This window comes from Homo sapiens, chromosome 3, assembly GCF_000001405.40.
Source record: "Homo sapiens chromosome 3, GRCh38.p14 Primary Assembly".
Taxonomy (NCBI): Eukaryota; Metazoa; Chordata; class Mammalia; order Primates; family Hominidae; genus Homo; species Homo sapiens.
Window position 1 is genome coordinate 94,064,049 of NC_000003.12, and position 20,653 is coordinate 94,084,701.

At 39.4% G+C, this 20,653-nt stretch overlaps 1 protein-coding gene and 1 pseudogene across 2 annotated transcripts in view; one reads left to right on the forward strand and one right to left on the reverse strand.

Moving 5' to 3' along the window:
- NSUN3 (NOP2/Sun RNA methyltransferase 3) overlaps nt 1-20,653 on the forward strand; it is a 68,772-nt gene that overhangs the window by 988 nt on the left and 47,131 nt on the right. For both annotated transcript variants that reach the window (NM_022072.5, XM_047448684.1), the window contains exons 2-3: nt 389-498; nt 20,059-20,402. In NM_022072.5, coding sequence (NP_071355.1) covers nt 389-498; nt 20,059-20,402 — 454 coding nt within the window. The remainder of the gene's footprint in view (nt 1-388; nt 499-20,058; nt 20,403-20,653) is intronic.
- On the reverse strand, nt 11,663-13,189 carry RBBP4P2 (RBBP4 pseudogene 2; annotated as a pseudogene).

The following is a 20,653-nucleotide window of genomic DNA, read 5'->3' on the forward strand; positions in this document are numbered from 1 at the left end:
GTTGGCCAACCTGGTCTTGAACTCCAGACCTCATGTGATCCTCCCGCCTCTGCCTCCCACAGTGCTGGGATTACAGGTGTGAGCCACCTGCCTAGCCCCTACAGTGACTTTTTAAAATTAATTTTGTTCCTTTTGACAGTTTCTTCAGCCCCAGTAGATTCTGTTTTAACCTTTGCTTCACATTTGGAAAATAATTATTTGGAAAAACCTTGCTTTTTCATAATTAGATAATGTACAGTTTTGGTACATGTAAGGTATTGCTTCCATTTCAAGAACTAGTAATTATCCAAAAAAAGTGTTCTTGTCTTAAAAAAAGACCTTGCTAATGTTGACGTTCAGTAAATTTGTAATATCACTGTGTGTCAGCAACTTTTTCTTATCGTCATAGCTGAAAGCAAAATCAGAGGGGAAGCTTGCAAAACAGATTTGCAAAGTTGTGTTGGATCATTTTGAAAAACAGTATTCCAAAGAACTCGGAGATGCCTGGAATACAGTAAGGTTAGTATAATTCATCTCGATGCTTTATGATGGAACAAAGTACAATATGTAGTCCTCCTTTTTGTGGGAGGGATGCTGTGAGGTTAAAAGGCAAAGGAATCTAAATCTGGTTGCCTTTTCCTACTGAAGCTATAGAAAGGAACAACTAAGAAGAAATAGAATGAATCATAGCATGTTGGAAAGGGGAAATAAAACTTTGTCGGGATGGTAAGCACAAATTGTTACGCCTTTGCTTTGAGCAATTACTTTGATCCTTGAAATAGGAATGCCCACTAGTTTGACAAAATTAATTATACTGTAAAAGAAAAAAACATAAAATTTGGAATATTTGACTGATTTCTGAAATTTAGAAGATAATACAACAAATCTTTAAAGCCAGCACTGCTTTATCTCAGCCAAAGGTACACTTTATTTGGTAATCATATTTCTTTCCTATGTCGATGGCTGGGTATATTTTGAACACGTGCATATACACACAAAATTATTTAAATATAAAAATAAGGAATGTTTAATGCATGGAAGTGGGAGAAATGTGATTTGTCTGTTTGGTAAGATGATGTTAATGTATGGATTACTGTATGGGTTCTTGACATTGAGTGCCTGATACACTATATAACCCTCTCTGGAATACAGAGCAAGACAGTCTGCATGTCCAGTTTACATGCCGTCTAGTTAGTGTTAATGGGAGAAGTGAGGAGATGGGTGTGGTTACAACTATATAAACTAATTTGTAAATACTGTGATCCAAGTATCTAACAAAGCCTGAGGGTGCCAGCAAAGGCCTGAAGGGAAGCTGGGTCTTGGTGACTTAGAGGAGTTACTTTGACAAAAAGAACTAGGCCTCCTAGGTTGAGGGAAGAAGGTGCACTGTTCATGAAGTTAGGGCAAAAGCCCACTACATGTTGCATGAGGAAAAAAAGTTGCATGGCTACAGATATTATCTGGAACTTGGTCCAGACTAATTTTTCAGATGGTTGGCTTGTCCATTTTTTTCTTGGATCAACTCTTAAGCATTTCTCCTTTACAAAGGGCAGTTCTGAGCATTTTCTAAAACAAATTAAGTTTTGGCTAATAAAGATCACAAAGTCTGAGGTGATTCTGAGATAATTTTAGGACAATTAAGCTGTTATAGAAATTGGTAAATGCTGTAATATGCAAACCGTTTATACTCGTGGGTTTTATTTCAAAAGTAGATTTTCAAATGGGTATTTTCTGTCACAGAGATGAAGAACTGAATAATAAAGTATGTAATAAATTTATGAGGTTTTCAGTATACAAAGGTACTCAAATAGAGTATCCAAATAACCAAACACTTATTGCATGTTTACTATATGCCAGACAATACTGACTTACATGATCCTCAGAACAAACCCGTTAAGAGTTTAAGTAATTTGCCCAAGTTCACTCAGCTAATAAGTGGCAGAGCTGAGGCTTGTGCCTGGGTTGTCTGACTCAATAACTCCCACAGCTCATCCTTGTTCTGTACTGTCTCATATCTGGGATGTGATTTAAAAAAAAAAAAGATTTCAAGAGGCTTTTTTTTTTTCTGTAGACTTTGTAGCAGTCTGGCTACTCATATCCTATAATGACTTATTTTTCTACTTAGTGTACTCAGAAAGTCATATACTATTATTTGACCCTGAGCAAAATGAGCAATGAACCTCAAATCCATTTAATTAGCTGTGCCTTCTGCTTCATTTACCCTATTGTGGGGTTTTTGTGGTAATTTAAGTTTTGCATAAACACACACTAAATTTGCCATAGGCAAAATAAAGGTTTCTCAGCTTAGGAAGTAGTCTGAGCATGGAAGATGGTATGGGGAAATAAGAACAGAATGAAATATTTTGTGTTTTAACTGCTTGTTTGCAAGACATAATGTACTTGTAGAGTCTACTTCCAGGGAAAGTCAAGTGCTCTTTTTTTGGCCTATTTAGAAAGTAATTTATTCAATATTTTTAGTTTCCTGTAGTAGTGAGGAAGATTTAGTATTTAGTTTTGCTCTTTTTTAGTAACCTTTCTTGTCTAGTCATCCTCTGAGCAGCCCTTTAAAATTGGAGTTTACCCTGGTTCAATTCTTGCTCTATTTGTTGCCTCCATGTTCTCCTCAGGTAAGCCCATTCATGGCATGACTTTTATCAGTATGCTGTCATCTCAAGCTGTGAGGTTCTTCCTAAGATTTAGTCCCATACTTCTGTTTTTTAGCAACTTCAGTTACTTGGCAAACTCAAAAGTGTATTATTATTTTTCCCTTTCAAACTTATGTTGCCTTTGCTACCTGCATATTTTATCTCAATTAAGTGTATCACCATCAGTCTGGTTTCCTCCTTTCTTCTCTATACCTTCACTACCTTTGTAGTAAAAAATGAACCTTATATAAAAATAGGTCTGGCAACTGCCCTCAGCTCCTGGGAGGCGATCTCTAAGCCCTTGGAATGTGCTTCCTGATAAGTGTGTCTTTGTTTACCTGGGTGTTGAGGTCACACCTGATAATCTAACGATGTGATTTATGTTGAGGCCTGGGGACCACAGGTGTCAACTCAACATCCAGAAGGGCTTGTGACTAAAAGCTGTATGGACAGTCAATCATATATACGTGACCAAGCCCCAATAAAAAGTGGATACCAAGGCTTTGGTGAGTGTCCCTGGTTGGCAATACTCTTGTGCATACTGTCATACATTACTGCCAGCAAAAGTTGACCTCGTTGATGATTCCGTTGGAGAGGACAGCTGGAAGCTTCATGCTTTGAATTGTTGTGAATTCTGCACTATGAGTCTCTTCCTGTGATTGTTTTTAATCTGTATGCTTTCATTATAATAAACTGTGACTATAACTGTGATTATAACAGCTTTCAGTGAGTTCGGTTGTGTCCCAGTGAATAATCAAACCTGAGAGTCATCCTTGGAATCCCTGAACTTGTAATTGGTGTCAGAAGTGAGAGTTGTCTTTGAGACTCAACTACCCTGCCCCCTTTTAATTTGGATCTTTTTAAAAAAATTCTCTACTGCTGCCATTCACTTAGACCTTCCCAATCTCTTATCTGGCATATTGCAACAGCCATGTTTAGTACTTACCTGTTTGCTTATTTTAGCAACCACTTTTATGGCACTATGTACCAGTCAATGTTGTAATCACTTTATGAATAATAACAATCCTATGTACAACCCTCTGAAATAGTTATTTCCATTTATATATAGGAAAGCTGAGGCACACAGAGGTTAAGTAACTTGCCCAAGTATACACATCTCACACTTTAACTTGCCCAAGTATACACATCTAACACTTTGAAGAGCCTTGAGAGTTTGTTGTACCCACTCTGTCATGCTGTTTCTCGGTGCTACCAAATTCCATTGTGTCACACCTTGAGTACAAACCTTTGCTCCCCAGAAGTCTGCAGTATTATGTTTGGACTAAAAATCTTATCTTTCTGGGCAGGCTCCTTCATGCCTTTGGGACTGGCTATGCTGTTCTTCTGCTAGGAATGCCTTTTTCCCTTCTCCCTCTGTGCAGTAGTGTGGGTTCAAATCCCACCTCTGCATCTTGTAGCATATGACCTAGGTGAGTTAATATCTCTGTGCTCCATTGTCCTCGTCTGTAAAATGGGGAAAAAATAGTATCTATTTCATATAATCATTTGGGAAGATAAAATGAATTTGTGTATATACAATGTGAATGGAATGTTGTTTGACGTATAGTAAGGACTTCATATGCATTAGCATTATTTTTGTTACTATGATTAACCACTTCATCAAGCCTTCTGTATGTCCCTTGGCAAAATTAGTTTTGCCCTTCGTGTATCCATTGCATTTTGTTGATAGAGCTATTGTGATTCTTTCAAGGTTTTATCGTCATAATTTACTAACTTGCTTATCTTTTTCCTGACAAGGGAGGGTTTTGAAGAACCAATACCTTGAGACTTGGGCAAGTCTTCTGCTTATTCCCAGTTTTGTCAGTGTTTGTGTACTAGGCATTGTGCTAAGCACTGAGAATACAAAAATGGACTGTATATATCCTGCCCTCAAATACATGTATGATTAATTGGATAATTAATGGATACTTAATAAATGTATGATTAATATAAGCATTAATTAGAAATATTTATTAACTGTGGAAATTTTACATGTACTTTATAGAAAGCAAAACAAACAGACCATATAAGTCTGAACTGTCTGCAACATCTTTTTTTTTTTGGACACTCTCCTCACTGACCGAGAGTTCACATACAGAGAGGAAAAAAAAATACACACACACACACACACACACATACACACACACAACCTGATAATATTACCATAATCTGTGAAGGATGTAGACTGAGGTGGTTAAGAAAGAGAGAAATGAACCAGTATCTAGATTTCTATATTGTCCTATATGTTGGCTTTACACACATTTTCAGCCTTAATCTGTGCAAATCTCTGTGAAGAAGTAACTTTTAGACACTTTAAAGTCAGAGGTTAGAACAATTGATAGGTATCTTGTAGTTGTGGCAAATTCAGTCCTGTGACTTAAAAGTCCACGCCTTTTCCTATACCATCTGTGCTGCTGTGAAGGGTCCAGAGTTGCATCCTTCCAAATGTATGCTCAGATCCCGTAGTATGAAGGACTCTTATGTTCAGGATTTTTAGCCTTTTGATGTTCCACCAGAAACGCAAAGGATTTCCTATCTGAGGTACAGTGAATAACAAATCTGGACATAAATTGCCCTTCTGTGAGATACAAGGAAGATCCATTGCCAAAATAGAATAGGAAGCCATCAGCTCTTCGTTAGCATCTCTGAGGAGTAAAAATAAAATGACTCAAAAACATACTTTGGTGCATTTCCATAAATTGATTTGTTTTTCATTTCTAACTTTTAAAAGAGTTGAATGAGCACCCTCTAGTGGATAATAATAGCACTAAATCAAGGAATTTCTCTTTTTTAGCTATGGAAATTTAAATAGGTTCTGTAATCTACAGGGTTATATTAATTGTGTTTAACAATTTCTAGATTAAATGATATTTTTCATCTTCGTCACTAGGACGGAAGGTAGGGTGGAGAGTAGAGTAGTAGGAAAAAAGAATAAAGTCACAGAAAAGTTGAATGAAAATTATACTATCAAATAATAAACATTATCGAAATGATACATTATACAGTTTTGCAAAATTTTAACTTAACTAGCTTTTAATTTTTTAATGCTTTAATTTTGTTAAAATAGTAAGTAGTTCAGAGAGCCTTGAATCAGAACTCCAATTTTATTCATTTACTCCAGGATTTAGGCCCCAGGCACTTAGCCAAGGAGAAAAATAAGTCAAGGCTCCCATATAAATGAGTTAGGGAAATGGGTAAGCAGGCAGGGTGACACACAGTGTGATATATTAGTTTAGCTTCATTAACTGTTTCTCAAAATTCAGTTATTCTTGTGTACCATCTGTCTAGTTTTACTTAATTTTTTTTTGGTCAGTTTTAATATTTTTCTTTTGTTTCTTAGGAATTTTTCTTTTGTTTCTTAGGAATTTATTTTTCTTTTGTTTCTTAGGAATTTAAGCTTATTTTATATCATTATCAGTAAATAGATGTGCCTAGCCTATAGTTGACAGACGGTGTATTTTTAGAGAATGAATGAATGTTGACAAGAAGATAATATACGATGGCTCACACCTGTAATTCCAGCACTTTGGGAGGCCAAGGCAGGAGATTTGCTTGAGGGCGGGAAGATTGCTTGAGGACAAGAGTTCAAGACCAGCATGGGCAATATAGCAAGACCTCATCTCTAGAAAAAATAAGCAATTAGCTGGGTGTGGTGGTGCGTGCCTGTAGGCGCAACTACTTGGGAGACTGAGGTAGGAGGATCGCTTGAGTCCAGGAGGTCGAGGCTTCACTGAGCCATGATCGCACAGCTGTACGCCAGCCTGGGTGACAGAGTGAGACCTTGTCTCTAAAAAAAAGAAGACAAAACAGACTTAGCATGTTGGAGGGAGGAGCAACAATGAGTGAGAAATAGAAAGACTTTTCAAGGGGGTATGTAGGCTCAGGCAAGTGACCGCAGTCAGTTTTCACATCCTCAACTTTCATGTATTCTCTTTCAGAAAATTACTCTGCCCCTCTGTACATAAGGGGGCACATATTCTCCTTTCCCAACCTGCCTTTCTCCAATTTCCCTTCACCCTTTTCACAAAAAGAAAGGCACACTTGCACCATTCTGGCTTCTATGCTATGTTCCTCCAGGTATTCAAAACCTCCATATGCCAGAAACTATTGGAGTGTCAGTGTGAGAAAGCAAATGACTAACAGATTCTCTGACAAGTCAGGTGGTTTCCAAGTTTTGCTTTCAACAAAAGTAAAGGAGCCTTGATTGAGATGTCAGCTATCAATTCATTTAAGACATTTTTGATGATAGGTTGCTAAGTGATTTGGGGATATAACTCCAAAAGAATTCAAAGTAAGAAACATTGCTATAACAAAATATATTTAATTCTCATCCACTTATTTAACTGAAGGTTTTTCTCAGCTTTTATAAAAAACACAAAATAGGCATAAAAATGATGTTGAATCCTGACTGATTTTATTATAGTAAGAAGTAATATTCATTTATGGATATATGGAAACAAAAGCTCATTTCATTAAGTATCCATTTCTTACCAATTTTTACTTTTATAAGTTGTTTTGATCGGTTTTGTACTAATAATATTATTGATCCCTGAATCCAGAAGTTACCATTTTAACACTTAGAGATTTAAGACCACAGGAAAAACAAATTTAGTACATACACATGTGTATATGTGGGGGCTAGAGAAGCATGATAGGGTGATAAAAAGATTTCAAGCATGAAAATATATTAAGATGAAGTTATATGAAGTAGAATGTAAATAAAAGAGGAAAACGAGCAGCATAAAATTTCCACCTGTTAAAGATGAGTCAGTCTATGAATTTTTAAATGGATGATGATGGGTATCAAAATCATTATGATATTTAGTTTCCACTGGGCACATACTAAAGGCAGTATAATTTGTATTTTAAAATGTCAATTTTTACAGTATGCTGGAAATTGCATCCTTTAAACATATGGTGAGATTTTAATGTCAACTTAAAATGTGTTTTTTTTCAAAATGATATCAGTGGTGCACTAGCAAATTTGCAGGTCACTGACCTTGTATGTCTCCAGTTCTGCTGGCTACTGAGGTACTTGCACTTCTTCTCACCTGGAAGACCAGTAAATGGAGCCGCTTCAGACTAACTGTGAATCTTGGGAAAAGGCCTGGAGTGTGGCACCTGGCCGCTGTTTTCTAGAGTCATCTAACATACATTCCCTCTACTGCCTGCTAAGCTACTTGCCCATCCATAAAAGCTTTGGATTCGGAAGCCACTTTCCCTCCAGCCCCAGGTTAGCAACCCACCCAGTGCAGGCACAGGAGGGGTTGTATGTGTGTGTGTTGTGGGGAGGAGAATGGAGGTCAGTGGCAGGTGTGTGCAAGGGGAACTGTAAGAATCATATTAATACACAGCTTTGCTTTCTCAGGGCTAGGAAGCACCAGCCTGAGCAGCCTTAGCAGTCCCTTCAAGAGTTGGTCTGTTGCAGCTGCTTCTATAGGCAGGATGTGGCAAGCTGATTTCATTGTTAGACAGAAGAGGGTTTCAGGGAGGTCATGGCCACTTGCACTAAGTGAGGGTTGGGGTAAAATTCTCTTTCTTGCCCCCTTTTGTAGCTCTGTGCTGTAGTACCAGGGTCTCACACGTTGGGAATCACTTCTGTTAGACTTTAAAGTCAGTCTGATTTTGAATCAGATACTTCTGCGTACTAGCAATGTGACCTCAGGTAAGTTGCCAAAATCTCTAAAAGCCTCAGTTAACCTCTAAAATAGGAGTAAGAGCTGCCTCTCTCAAGGTTGTTGTGATGGTTCTATGATATAAACATGCAAAATGAACATTGTACACATCCAGTCAGTAACATTTATTAATAATGATATCAGAGTATGGTGGAGGATGTGAACCGGGTGGTAAGTGGAAAGACTTCGTTGGAGAGAGAAAACTCCCTAAGTTGAGAACAGATAGGTGAGAGAGGAAAGGTTATTCAGGGAGGTTGGGGGCCGGGCATGTGGAGATCAGTAAATTTTAAAGAAACTTGTTAGAAGAAATCTGTATAGTTCAGTAGGGTTGGGTGTAGATCATGAAAGATCAAAAATTTCGTTTGTTCTATTTAGGCCTTATTTTGTCTAGTCACTAAAGAATGAGATAGAGTAATTTCTGAAGAGTTCTGCCTCAGTCTGCAATAAGTTCTTCTCTTTTTTTTTTATTATTATACTTTAAGTTCTGAGGTACATGTGCAGAATGTGCAGTTTTCTTACATAGGTATACCCATGCCATGGTGGTTTGCTGCACCCATCAACCCATCACCTACATTAGGTATTTCTCCTAATGCTATCTGTCCCCCAGCCCCTCACCACCCGACAGGCCCTGATGTGTGATGTTCCCCTCCCTGTGTCCATGTGTTCTCATTGTTCACCTCCCACTGATGAGTGAGAACATGCAGTGTTTAATTTTCTGTTCTGTGATAGTTTGCTGAGAATGATGGTTTCCAGCTTCATCCATGTCCCCGCGAAGGACGTGAACTCATCCTTTTATATGGCTGCATAGTATTTCATGGGGTATATGTGACACATTTTCTTTATCCAGTCTATCATTGATGGACATTTGGGTTTGTAACAAGTCTTTGCTCTTGTGAATAGTGCTGCAATAAACATATGTGTGCATGTGTCCTTATAGTAGAAGGATTTATAATCCTTTGGGTATATACCCAGTAATGGGATTGCTGGGTCAAATGGTATTTCTAGTTCTAGATCCTTGACCAATCGCCACACTGTCTTCCACAATGGTTGAACTAATTTACACTCCCACCAACAGTGTAAAAGTGTTCCTGTTTCTCCACATCCTCTCCAGCATCTGTTGTTTCCTGACTTTTTAATGATCATGATTCTAACTGGTGTGAGATGGTATTTCATTGTGGTTTTGATTTGTATTTCTCTAATGACCAGTGATGATGAGCATTTTTTCATATGTTTGTTGGCTGCATAAATGTCTTCTTTTGAGAAGTGTCTGTTCATATCCTTTGCTCACTTTTTGATGAGGTTGTTTTTTTCTCGTAAATTTGTTTAAATTCTTTGTAGATTCTGGATATTAGCCCTTTGTCAGTTGGATAGATTGCAAAAATTTTCTCCCATTCTGTAGGTTGCCTGTTCACTCTGATGGTAGTTTCTTTTACTGTGCAGAAGCTCTTTCGTTTAATTAGATCCCATTTGTCAATTTTGGCTTTTGCTGCCGTTGCTTTTGGTGTTTTAGACATGAAGTCTTTGCCCATGCCTATGTCCTGAATGGTATTGCCTAGGTTTTCTTCTAGGATTTTTATGGTTTTAGGTCTTATGTTTAAGTCTTTAATCCATCTTCAGCTAATTTTCATATAAGGTGTAAGGAAGGGGTCCAGTTTCAGTTTTCTGCATATGGCTAGCCAGTTTTCCCAGCACCATTTATTAAATAGGGAATCCTTTCCCCATTTCTTGTTTTTGTCAGGTTTGCCAAAGATCAGATAGTTGTAGATGTGTGGTATTATTTCTGAGGGCTCTGTTCTGTTCCATTGGTTGTATATATCTGTTTTGGTACCAGTTCCATGCCGTTTTGGTTACTGTAGCCTTGTAGTATAGTTTGAAGTCAGGTAGCATGATGCCTCCAGCTTTGTTCTTTTTCCTTAGGATTGTCTTGGCTATGTGGGTTCTTTTTTGATTCCATATGAAGTTTAAAGTATTTTGTTTTTCCAATTCTGTGAAGAAAGTCAATGGTAGCTGGATGGGGATAGCATTGAATCTATAAGTTACTCTGGGCAGTATGGCCATTTTCACTGTATTGATTCTTCTTATCCATGAGCATGGAAGTATTTTCCATTTGTTTGTGTCCTCTCTTATTTCCTCGAGCAGTGGTTTGTAGTTCTCCTTGAAGAGGTCCTTCACATCCCTTGTAAGTTGTATTCCCAGGTATTTTATTCTCTTAGTAGCAATTGTGGATGGGAGTTCACTCATGATTTGGCTGTCTGTTTGTCTGTTATTGGTATATAGGAATGCTTGTGATTTTTGCACATTGATTTTGTTCCTTGAGATTTTGCTGAAGTTGCTTATTAGCTTAAGGAGATTTTGGGCTGAGACGATGGGGCTTTCTAAATATACAATCATGTCATCTGCAAACAGAGACAATTTGACTTCCTCTCTTCCTATTTGAATACCCTTTATTTCCTTCTCGTGCCTGATTGCCCTGGCTAGAAATTCCAATACTGTGTTGAATAGGAGTAGTGAGAGAGGGCATTCTTGTCTTGTGCTGGTTTTCAGAAGGAATGCTTCCAGTTTTTGCCCATTCAGTATGCTATTGGCTGTGAGTTTGTCATAAATAGCTCTTATTATTTTGAGATATGATCCATCGATACCTAGTTTATTGAGAGTTTTTAGCATAAAGGGGTGTTGAAATTTGTCAAGGTCTTTTCTGCATCTATTGAGATAATCATGTGGTTTTTGTCATTGGGTCTGTTTATGTGATGGATTACTTTTATTTTTTTTCAAGGATTAATTTAATTTTTAAAACAAATACAAGTTATTGATTCAGTCTTCTCAATTTGACAGTCTACCTGTGGTATAACTGTCAGGTAAAAACATACATCTTTACAACTTGGTGGTCTCAAGTTAAAAGCAAACAAACAAACAAACAAAAAAAAGCCACACCATTTCACAGACAGGAAAGAAACAACATGAAAACAGCTCAAGAAATACACTAATGAGCAAAAATATATGGGGAAAGAGGAACATGTAGTTTTGACTTAACTGAACAAACCAAGAAGAAACTGGTCTACTTATGTAAATGTGCATCCTGGAAAGTCAGGTGTCAGGATTTTCAGGTAGGAATCTATATGACTTGAATCTTCCCTATTTCCTGAATAAAAGTGACATCTTTCTGTATTTATACTTCATGGCTCAGACACCTACCTCATTTGGCTCTATTCCTTACTCACTCTAGCCTTTACTTAAATGAGTCTGAAAAACTTGGCGATATAGCATAAGAAGAAAAATAATCACACATGATATTTTCATTTCTGTAGCTACTTTAGACCAGGGTTTGTTACTAGAAAATTCCTGAAGAAAATTTCAACGTAAGTCTGTGGCTTTGCTGAATCAAGCCCCCCCCCCCAATAATATTTAGAAAACACCCACTGTTTGGGCTAATAGCATTATTGGTGGTACCTATTATATAGAGGGATACCTGAACAAAGTCTGTCTCATAACCAGTGTTAAATCACTCTCAGGGTTGAGAAGAAAAAAAGGGGAGTCTAAAATCACAAGAAGTAAAGACGTATCTAGGACCCTTGTCCTTCTGGATCCATATTCCTTCAGGGTCTTCATCATTATAAATGTTCTCTGCCATTTGCCACACTTGCATGATATTGTCTTCTGATACAGAACAAATCACCCAAGGTTCATTGGGATTCCAGGAGAAATCAGATATCTTGGCAGTGTGACCACCATGAATAAACAACAACTCTGGTGACCCGTCTTCTGCATCTTCTGGGGATTGTTCCTCTCCAATTTTACTTAAATCCTAGACATTCAGTCTGCGATCAGTACCACTGGAAGCCAAAATAGTCTCACTGTGAGGTGACTACTGAACCTGGAATATTTCATCCATGTGACTCAGAGGAATGCAACATAAGTTTCAGATTTCTCAGATCCCACAAGGCAACAGTCTTGTCAGCTGATCCTGTGGCAAGAATGAACTCACTATAAGGATTGAAAGGCAGTTCACTTCAGCAGTGTGAGCGTCAACTGAGTGGCTTGGTTTGGAAGTATTGTTTGAACAAGTATCCCAAATCATAAGTTTCTGATGATCAGCAACTGACCCAAACAGAGACTTATGGAACAGATGCCAGGAAACATCTTCTACTACTACTGTATGCCCTGTAAAGATGGTCTTTGCATCCACCACATTTCCCTCCTTTGGAACAGCACTGATGTCCCACGGGTAGATGGTGTGATCATCTGAAGCACTAAGTAAGTGCCCACTGAGATTTGGCCAAGAAAGCCCATAGCCTTTTTTCTGATGTCCATGGAGACGCAAGTCTGAGTTGCAGTCTCCAGAAAGATCTGGTTTAGGATGTTTTGTATAGTCCAAGATAAGAACATCACTGGAAGGAGTCTTTGTTGTGATAATACAAGGATTCTGGGGCATATAACGGGCCCTGTTTACTTCTCCTTCATGGTTGATCTTGATTTCTATTTCAATTTTTCCACTAACTGAACCAAAACCTCCAAATTCTCCTTTCTCACTGTCGTAGTGTGATGCATCAAAATGAGCATCATCATTAGGGAGTTGCACACTGGCTATAACAAGATGTTTTTGTTCATCCAATGTGTGTGTGTACCCAGGACAAGTCGATGAATGCTGAAATCTTTCCCTTCTGGTCTGGTTACACCTGGAAGCCACTGGGCAGTTAGGCTGGGCCACTCCAGAGCCTGCGTCATCACCAAATCATAAAGAAAAGGGGTGTTCTTTTTCCATATTTTGTACTCCTTATGGATCACTCATTCTTCCACTGCGTCATCAAAGGCTGCTTCCTTGTCAGTCATGGAGGCCAGGCGAGCCAGGGGAATACTGGAGTCGGGTGTTGCAGGAGGGGCAGGGAGGCTGCAGGCCGGATTGATTTGCATATGTTGAACCAGTCTTGCATCCCAGGTATGAAGTTGACATCGTGGTGGATAAGCTTATTGATGTGCTACTGGATTTGGTTTGCCAGTATTTTTTTGAGGATTTTTGCATTGATGTTCATCAGGGATATTGGCCTGAAATTTAATTTTTTTTGTTGTGTCTCTGCCAGGTTTTTGTGTCAAGATTATGCTGGCCTCATAAAATGAGTTAGGGAGGATTCCCTCTTTTTCTATTGTTTGGAATAGTTTCAGAAGGAATGGCACTAGCTCCTCTTTGTACGTTTGGTAGAATTCGGCTGTGAATTCATCTGGTCCTGGACTTTTTTTGGTTGGTAGGCTATTAATTACTGCCTCAATTTCAGAACTTGTTATTGGTCTATTCAGGGATTCGACTTCTTCCTGGTTTAGACTTGGGAGGTTGTATGTGTCCAGGAATTTATTCATTTCTTCTAGATTTTCTATTTCATTTGCATAGAGGTGTTTATAGTATTCTCTGATGGTAGTTTGTATTTCTGTGGGATCACTGGTGATATCCCCTATATTATTTTTTATTGCGTCTATTTGATTCTTCTCTCTTTTCTTCTTTATTAGTCTGGCTAGCAGTCTATCTATTTTGTTGATCTTTTCAAAAAACCAGCTCCTGGATTCATTGATTTTTTTGAAGGGATTTTCATGTCTCTATCACCTTCAGTTCTGCTCTGATCTTAGTTATTTCTTGTCTTCTGCTAGCTTTTGAATTTGTTTGCTGTTGCTTCTCTAGTTCTTTTAATTTTGATGTTAGGTTGTCAATTTTAGATCTTTCCTGCTTTCTCTTGTGAGCATTTAGTGCTGTAAATCTCCCTTTACACACTGCTTTAAATGGGTCCCAGAGATTCTGGTATGTTGTGTCTTTGTTCTCATTGGTTTCAAAGAACATCTTTATTTCTGCCTGCATTTCATTATTTACCCAGTAGTCATTCAGGAGCAGGTTGTTCAGTTTCTGTGTAGTTGTGCGGTTTTGAGTGAGTTTCTTAATCCTGAGTTCTAATTTGATTTCACTGTGTTCTGAGAGACTGTTTGTTATGATTTCCATTCTTTTACATTTGCTGAGGAGTTTACTTCCAATTATGTGGTCAGTTTTAGAATAAGTGTGATGAGATGCTGAGAATAATGTATATTCTGTTGATTTTGGGTGGAGAGTTCTGTAGATGTCTATTAGGTCTGCTTGGTCCAGAGCTGAGTTCAAGTCCTGAATATCCTTGTTAATTTTCTGTCTCATTGATCTGTCTAATATTGACAGCGGGGTGTTAAAGTCTCCCACTATTATTGTGTGGGAGTCTAAGTCTCTTTGTAGGTCTCTAAGAACTTGCTTCATGAATCTGGATGCTCCTGTGTTGGGTGCATATATATTTAGGATAGTTAGCTCTTCTTGTTGCATTGATCCCTTTACCATTATGTAGTGCCCTTGTCTATTTTGATCTTTGTTGGTTTAAAGTCTGTTTTATCAGAGATTAGGATTGGAACTCCTGCTTATTTTTGCTTTCCATTTGCTTGGCAAATATTCCTCCATCCCTTTATTTTGAACCTATGTGTGTCTCTGCATGCGAGATGGGTCTCCTGAATACAGCACACTGCTGGGTCTTGACTCTTTATCCAATTTGCCAGTCTGTGTCTTTTAATTGGTGCATTTAGCCTGTTTAAAGGTAATATCGTTATGTGTGAATTTGATCCTGTCACTATGATGCTAGCTGTTTATTTTGTCCGTTAGTTGATGCAGTTTCTTCATAGTGTCGATGGTCTTTACAATTTGGTATGTTTTTGCAGTGGCTGGTACTGGTTGTTCCTCTCCATGTTTAGTGCTTCCTTCAGGAGCTCTTGTAAGGCAGGCCTGGTGGTAACAAAATCTCTCAGCATTTACTTGCCTGTAAAGGATTTTATTTCTCCTTCGCTTATGAAGCTTACTTTGGCTGGATATGAAGCTCTGGGTTGAGAATTCTTTTCTTTAAGAATGTTGAATATTGGCCCCCACTCTCTTCTGGCTTGTACAATTTCTGCCGAGAGATCCACTGTTAGTCTGATGCGCTTCCCTTTGTGGGTGACCCAACCTTTCTCTCTGGCTGCCCTTAACATTTTTTCCTTCATTTCAACCTTGGTAATCTGACAATTATGTGCCTTGGGTTTGCTCTTCTCGAGGAGTATCTTTGTGGTGGTCTCTGTATTTCCTCAATTTGAATTTTGGCCTGCCTTGCTAGGTTGGGGAAGTTCTCCTGGATGATAGCTTGAAGACTGTTTTCCAACTTGTTTCATTCTCCCTGTCACTTTCAGGTACACCAATCAAATGTAGATTTGGTCTTTTCACATAGTCCCATATTTCTTGGAGGCTTCGTTCATTCCTTTTTACTCTTTTTTCTCTAAACTTGTCTTCTCACTTTATTTCATTAAATTGATCTTCAGTCTCTCATATCTTTTCTTCTGCTTGATCGATTCAGCTATTGATACTTGTGTATGCTTCACGAAGTTCTCGTGCTGTGTTTTTCAGCTCCATCAGGTCATTTATGTTCTTCTCTAAACTGGTTATTCTAGTTAGCAATTTGTCTAAACTTTTTTCAAGGTTCTTAGCTTCCTTGCATTGGGTTAGAATATGCTCCTTTAGCTTGGAAGAGTTTGTTATAACCCACCTTCTGAAGCCTACTTCTGTCAGTTTGTCAAACTCATTCTCCATCCAGTTTTGTTCCCTTGCCGGCGAGGAGTTGTGATCCTTTGGAGGAGAAGAGGCATTCTGGTTTTTGGAATTTTCAGCCTTTTTGCACTGGTTTCTCCCCATCTTTGTGGATATATCCCCTTTGGTCTTTGATGTTGGTGACCTTTGGCTGGTGGGGTCTTTGAGTGGATGTGCTATTCCTTTCTGTTTGTTAGTTTTCCTTCTAACAGTTGGGCCCCTCTGCTGCAGGTCTGCTGGAGTTTGCTGGAGGTCCACTCCAGACCTTGTTTGCCTGGGTATCACCAGCGGAGGCTGCAGAACAGCAAAGATTGTTGCGTGTTCTGTCCTGTTTTGTCCCAGAGGGGCACTTGCCAGATGTCAGCCAGAGCTCTCCTGTATGAGGTGTCTGTCAGCCCCTACTGGGAGGTGTGTCCCAGTCAGGATACACAGCGGTCAGATACCCACTTGAGGAGGCAGTCTGACCCTTAGCAGAGCTCAGACACTGTGCTGGGAGGTCCGCTGCTCTCTTCAGAGCCATCAGGCAGGGACGTTTAAGTCGGCTGAAGCTGTGCCCACAGCCGCCCCTTTCCCCAGGTGCTCTGTCCCAGGGAGAGGGGGTTTTATCTATAAGTCCCTTACTGAAGCTGCTGCCTTTTTTTCAGAGATGCCCTGCCCAGAGAGGAAAAATCTGACAGTCTGGCCACAGCAGCCTTGGTGAGCTGCAGTGGGCTCCGCCCAGTTCAAACTTCCTGATGGCTTTGTTTACACTGTGAGGGTAAAACCACCTACTCAAGCCTCAGTAATGGCGGACGCCCCTCCCTCCACCAAGCTCCAGCATCCCAGGTTGATCTGAGACTGCTGCTGTGCTGGCAGTGAGAATTTCAAGCCAGTGGATCTTAGTTTGCTGGGCTCCATGGGGGTGGGACCTGCTGAGCAAGACCACTTGGCTTCCTGGCTTCAGCACCCCTTTCCAGGGGAGTGAACTGTTCTGTCTCGCTGGTGCTTCAGGCGCCACTGGGGTATGGAAAAGAAAACTCCTGCAGCTAGTTCGGTGTCTGCCTAAAGAGCCACCCAATTTTGTGCTTGAAACCCAGGGCCCTGGTGGGGTAGGCACCGAAGGGAATCTCCTGGCCTGCAGGTTGCATAGACCATGGGGAAAGCGTGGTATCTGGGCTGGAGTGCATGGTTCCTTAGGCTCAGTCCCTCATGGCTTCCCTTGGGTAGGGGAGAAAATTCCCCAACCCCTTGCACTTCCCTGATGAGGCGATGCCCCACCCTGCTTCAGCTCGCCCTCTGTGGGCTGCACCTACTGTCCAACCAGTCCCAATGAGATGAACCGGGTCCCTCAGTTGGAAATGCAGAAATCACCCACCTTCTGCGTTGATCTTGCTGGGAGCTGCAGACCGGAGCTGTTCCTATTGGGCCATCTTGCCAAAAATCCTCAGTACATGTCTTTAAATCTGATTGGGGCTCTCTCCCCCTAAAGTTTTTTAATGGCTTCTCATCACTTAGAAGTTAAAATTCAAAAACCTTATCATATTATACTTGGTAATCTTCTGCCATGATCCACATCAGACTACTAATTTTTAAAATGCACTGTTCTTTCTCATTCCTGTGTGCTTGTACATGTGGTATTGGCTTTGTCCTGAAACTTCCTTTCTCATTTCTTCCTACAGATAATTTCTTCTCATCCTTCAAGATTTAACATATTGGATAATATACAAAAGCTAATGTTGTTCCTGAATTAATAATCCTCTTAAACAATAAGCTTAAAAGGAAACATGCAGGATTTAACCTTTCTAAGAGATAGGAAAGAAAATGTGAATAAATGGAGAAACATATTGTGATCAGGATTGGAAAAATTGACTGCAATAAAGATGTGAAATATCTCCAAGTTTAAAGCATTTAATATAATCCTAGGCAAGGTTACTATATCTCTACCTGTCTACATACACAAATATTGTATAAATTATGTTTAACTGAACTTTTATTCCAAAGTTCATCTGAAAGAATAAACATTCAAGATAGCTTTGAAAATTCTGAAGAAAAAAAGAAGAACGAATAGAGATTTGTCCTGTCTGATGTTAACTAATTGAAAGTGTTCTACTCCTTTTTAGCTGATGGGTAGGCACATGATGCAAGCCAAGCCGCTCCTTCTGTATAACTGTGTTTCCGATCATTTTTTTATTACACATGACTCAACACTGGATAGATTTTTCAGCCTGTTTGGAGGTAAGATTAGGATGAACTGCCGTAAGACTTATAATAGTGGCGTTTGCAGATTTCCCTTTGGGATCAGTTTTAAAGCAGTCTCCCCCAAAGTGTGGTCCTGGGGATCAGCAGCATCAGCATCACCTGAAAACTTGCTAGAGCTACGAATTTCAGGCTCTCTTTCAGACCTACTGAATCAGAAACTCTGGCTAGGTCCCTGCAGTCTGTTTTACAGACCCTTGATGCACACTTAAGTTTGCGAACCTCTTTCTTAAGGAAAGAGGTTGTCATCCTCCAAAATAGCTGAAACAGATACGCCAGGCTCCTGTGACTCACCATCCATAGTAAGAGGCAGTGAAAGGAGAAAGCAGTTTCACGTATTAGCCCTAAATTGAAATTCACATGGCACGCTTCCAGTCGCAGGTGTTACATTTCAATCCACCCATTCCTCACATAGGCAACTCCAGGGTGTGTAGCAGCTGGAATTTATTTAATTGACCATAGTTAATGAGGCTCCCAAATAACTCAGCTAGAAAGGTCGGCTAGTAAATAAATTAAATATTTCCTGCTGGATCACCTGTCAGTTGATATGAGTTTGTGATTGTTAAGAGATGGAACTCTTGGACCGAATGCAAATTTAACAGGGTAAAGCTGCTGGGGGAAAGCCTGCACCATCAATCCATAAGTGGTTTTTAAATCATCCTTGGTTTTTTATCATCTGAGCCACTCATCGCCTCATTAACTCCATTACTGTAGAGTTCACTGTAGTTAGTTTTCCATACCTTTTATCTTCATCAGAAGAAAACACTCATTCCCTCTAACACCCTTTTATGATAATACTTTTCCCTCTAATATTAATAGTCTCTAGGAAATTGAATATTGTCTCTAAGAAAAACACTTCCTTGTGCAAAGAGTGATGGGTTCATTTTGACAGACTTAGAGGTATTTAAAGGCAGGCTGCCTTTTTTTTTTTTTTTTTCCAAGATGTACTGCAGGGAGGGACTAAGCTGAGTGTAAGCTGAGGCATACCTCTCTGGTGCAGAATTTAAGCCTCAAAAACCTCAGTAATCATAATGTTAACAGTAGAGGGTCTTGACTGCAAGTTGTCCAGGTTCTTGGAGTTTTGAACAAAGAATCTGATAAAACACACAGCAAAGCAAGGAAAGAATGCCACAACAGAAGAGATTTATTGAAACTGAAAGTACACTCCACAGTGTGAGAATGGCCACAAGGGCCCCAGATACAGAATATTCTTGGGTCCGAACACCCATTAGAGGTTTTCCATTGGCCACTTGGTGCTTACCTCATGTAAATGATGTGGTGGCCCGCAATCAGTCTGATTGGTTGGGGAAAGCAACCAAACGGAGGCTGAAGTGAAGTTACAAAGGTTACACTCTTGTGCAAATATCTGATTGGTTATGGACAGCAACCAGAGACTAAAGTGAAGTTACAAAGTTCCACTTCTATGCAAGCGTGTGATTGGTTGCAAAAAGCAACAAATTAGAGGTACTTTCAATTTCCCATTTGCCATGCAGAAAATGTGGGGGTTTGCAAAGGGAGTAGCGCCTGGTTCTTTTGTTACTTAGGCATGATGGAAAGTTAGGGTTTTCCTTTCAATTTAGTTCTCGGAAGTCAGTATGAAATGGCCTTAGGTTCCTTGTCTTCAGACTCTATTCTCTTGCCTCAATAATGTAATATTTCAGTGATCACAATTAGTTTTTGAAAAGCCACAGTGAACGAAATACCAGTTTTTAAAATAAAGACAGGATCATAACAATGCTGGATTCAGTCCTGTCAGAGGCTCATGAGGCAAAAGGAAGAGTCAGGAATACTGATCCTGTCTCTTAAAATCACAGGTAAGTGAAGTGTAAAACTAGGACCACATTCACCTGATTCGTAATATAAAATTGTATTGGTATGTATCATATTAATATTCTCTTATTTTCTCTTTTTCTATTTCTAGGGAGATACTAACATCTCCATCATGCTGGCAATATGCTGTCCTGCTTAACCGATTCAATTATCCTTTTGAACTGGAAAAGGATTTACATTTGAAGGGCTATCACACACTCTCTCAGGGATCTTTACCCAACTATCCTAAATCAGTGAAGTGTTACCTTAGCAGAACTCCGGGCCGAATCCCTTCAGAAAGACACCAAATTGGAAACCTGAAAAAATATTATCTCCTAAATGCTGCTTCTCTTCTCCCAGTGTTGGCTCTGGAATTAAGGGATGGGGAGAAGGTTCTGGATCTCTGTGCTGCTCCTGGAGGGAAATCAATAGCTCTGCTGCAGTGTGCTTGTCCAGGTAGTGTGCTTTCCTTTCAGTATTTGACAACTTTTTAATATCTGTATGTTATAGAGAATTCTGAAAGTATATATGGGGAGAAACGTAAGACTGAGTTTGCAAACTCAGGAAGCCTGAAAACTGAGATGCTATGGAGAAGAATGGAAATTTTTGCTGAGGAAGTCAGTATAAATAACATTTTTTTCAGCAATTTAATTCTAGCAGGTGATTGGGAACAAAACTTCAACATTTCGCAAATACAAATCTGTCAG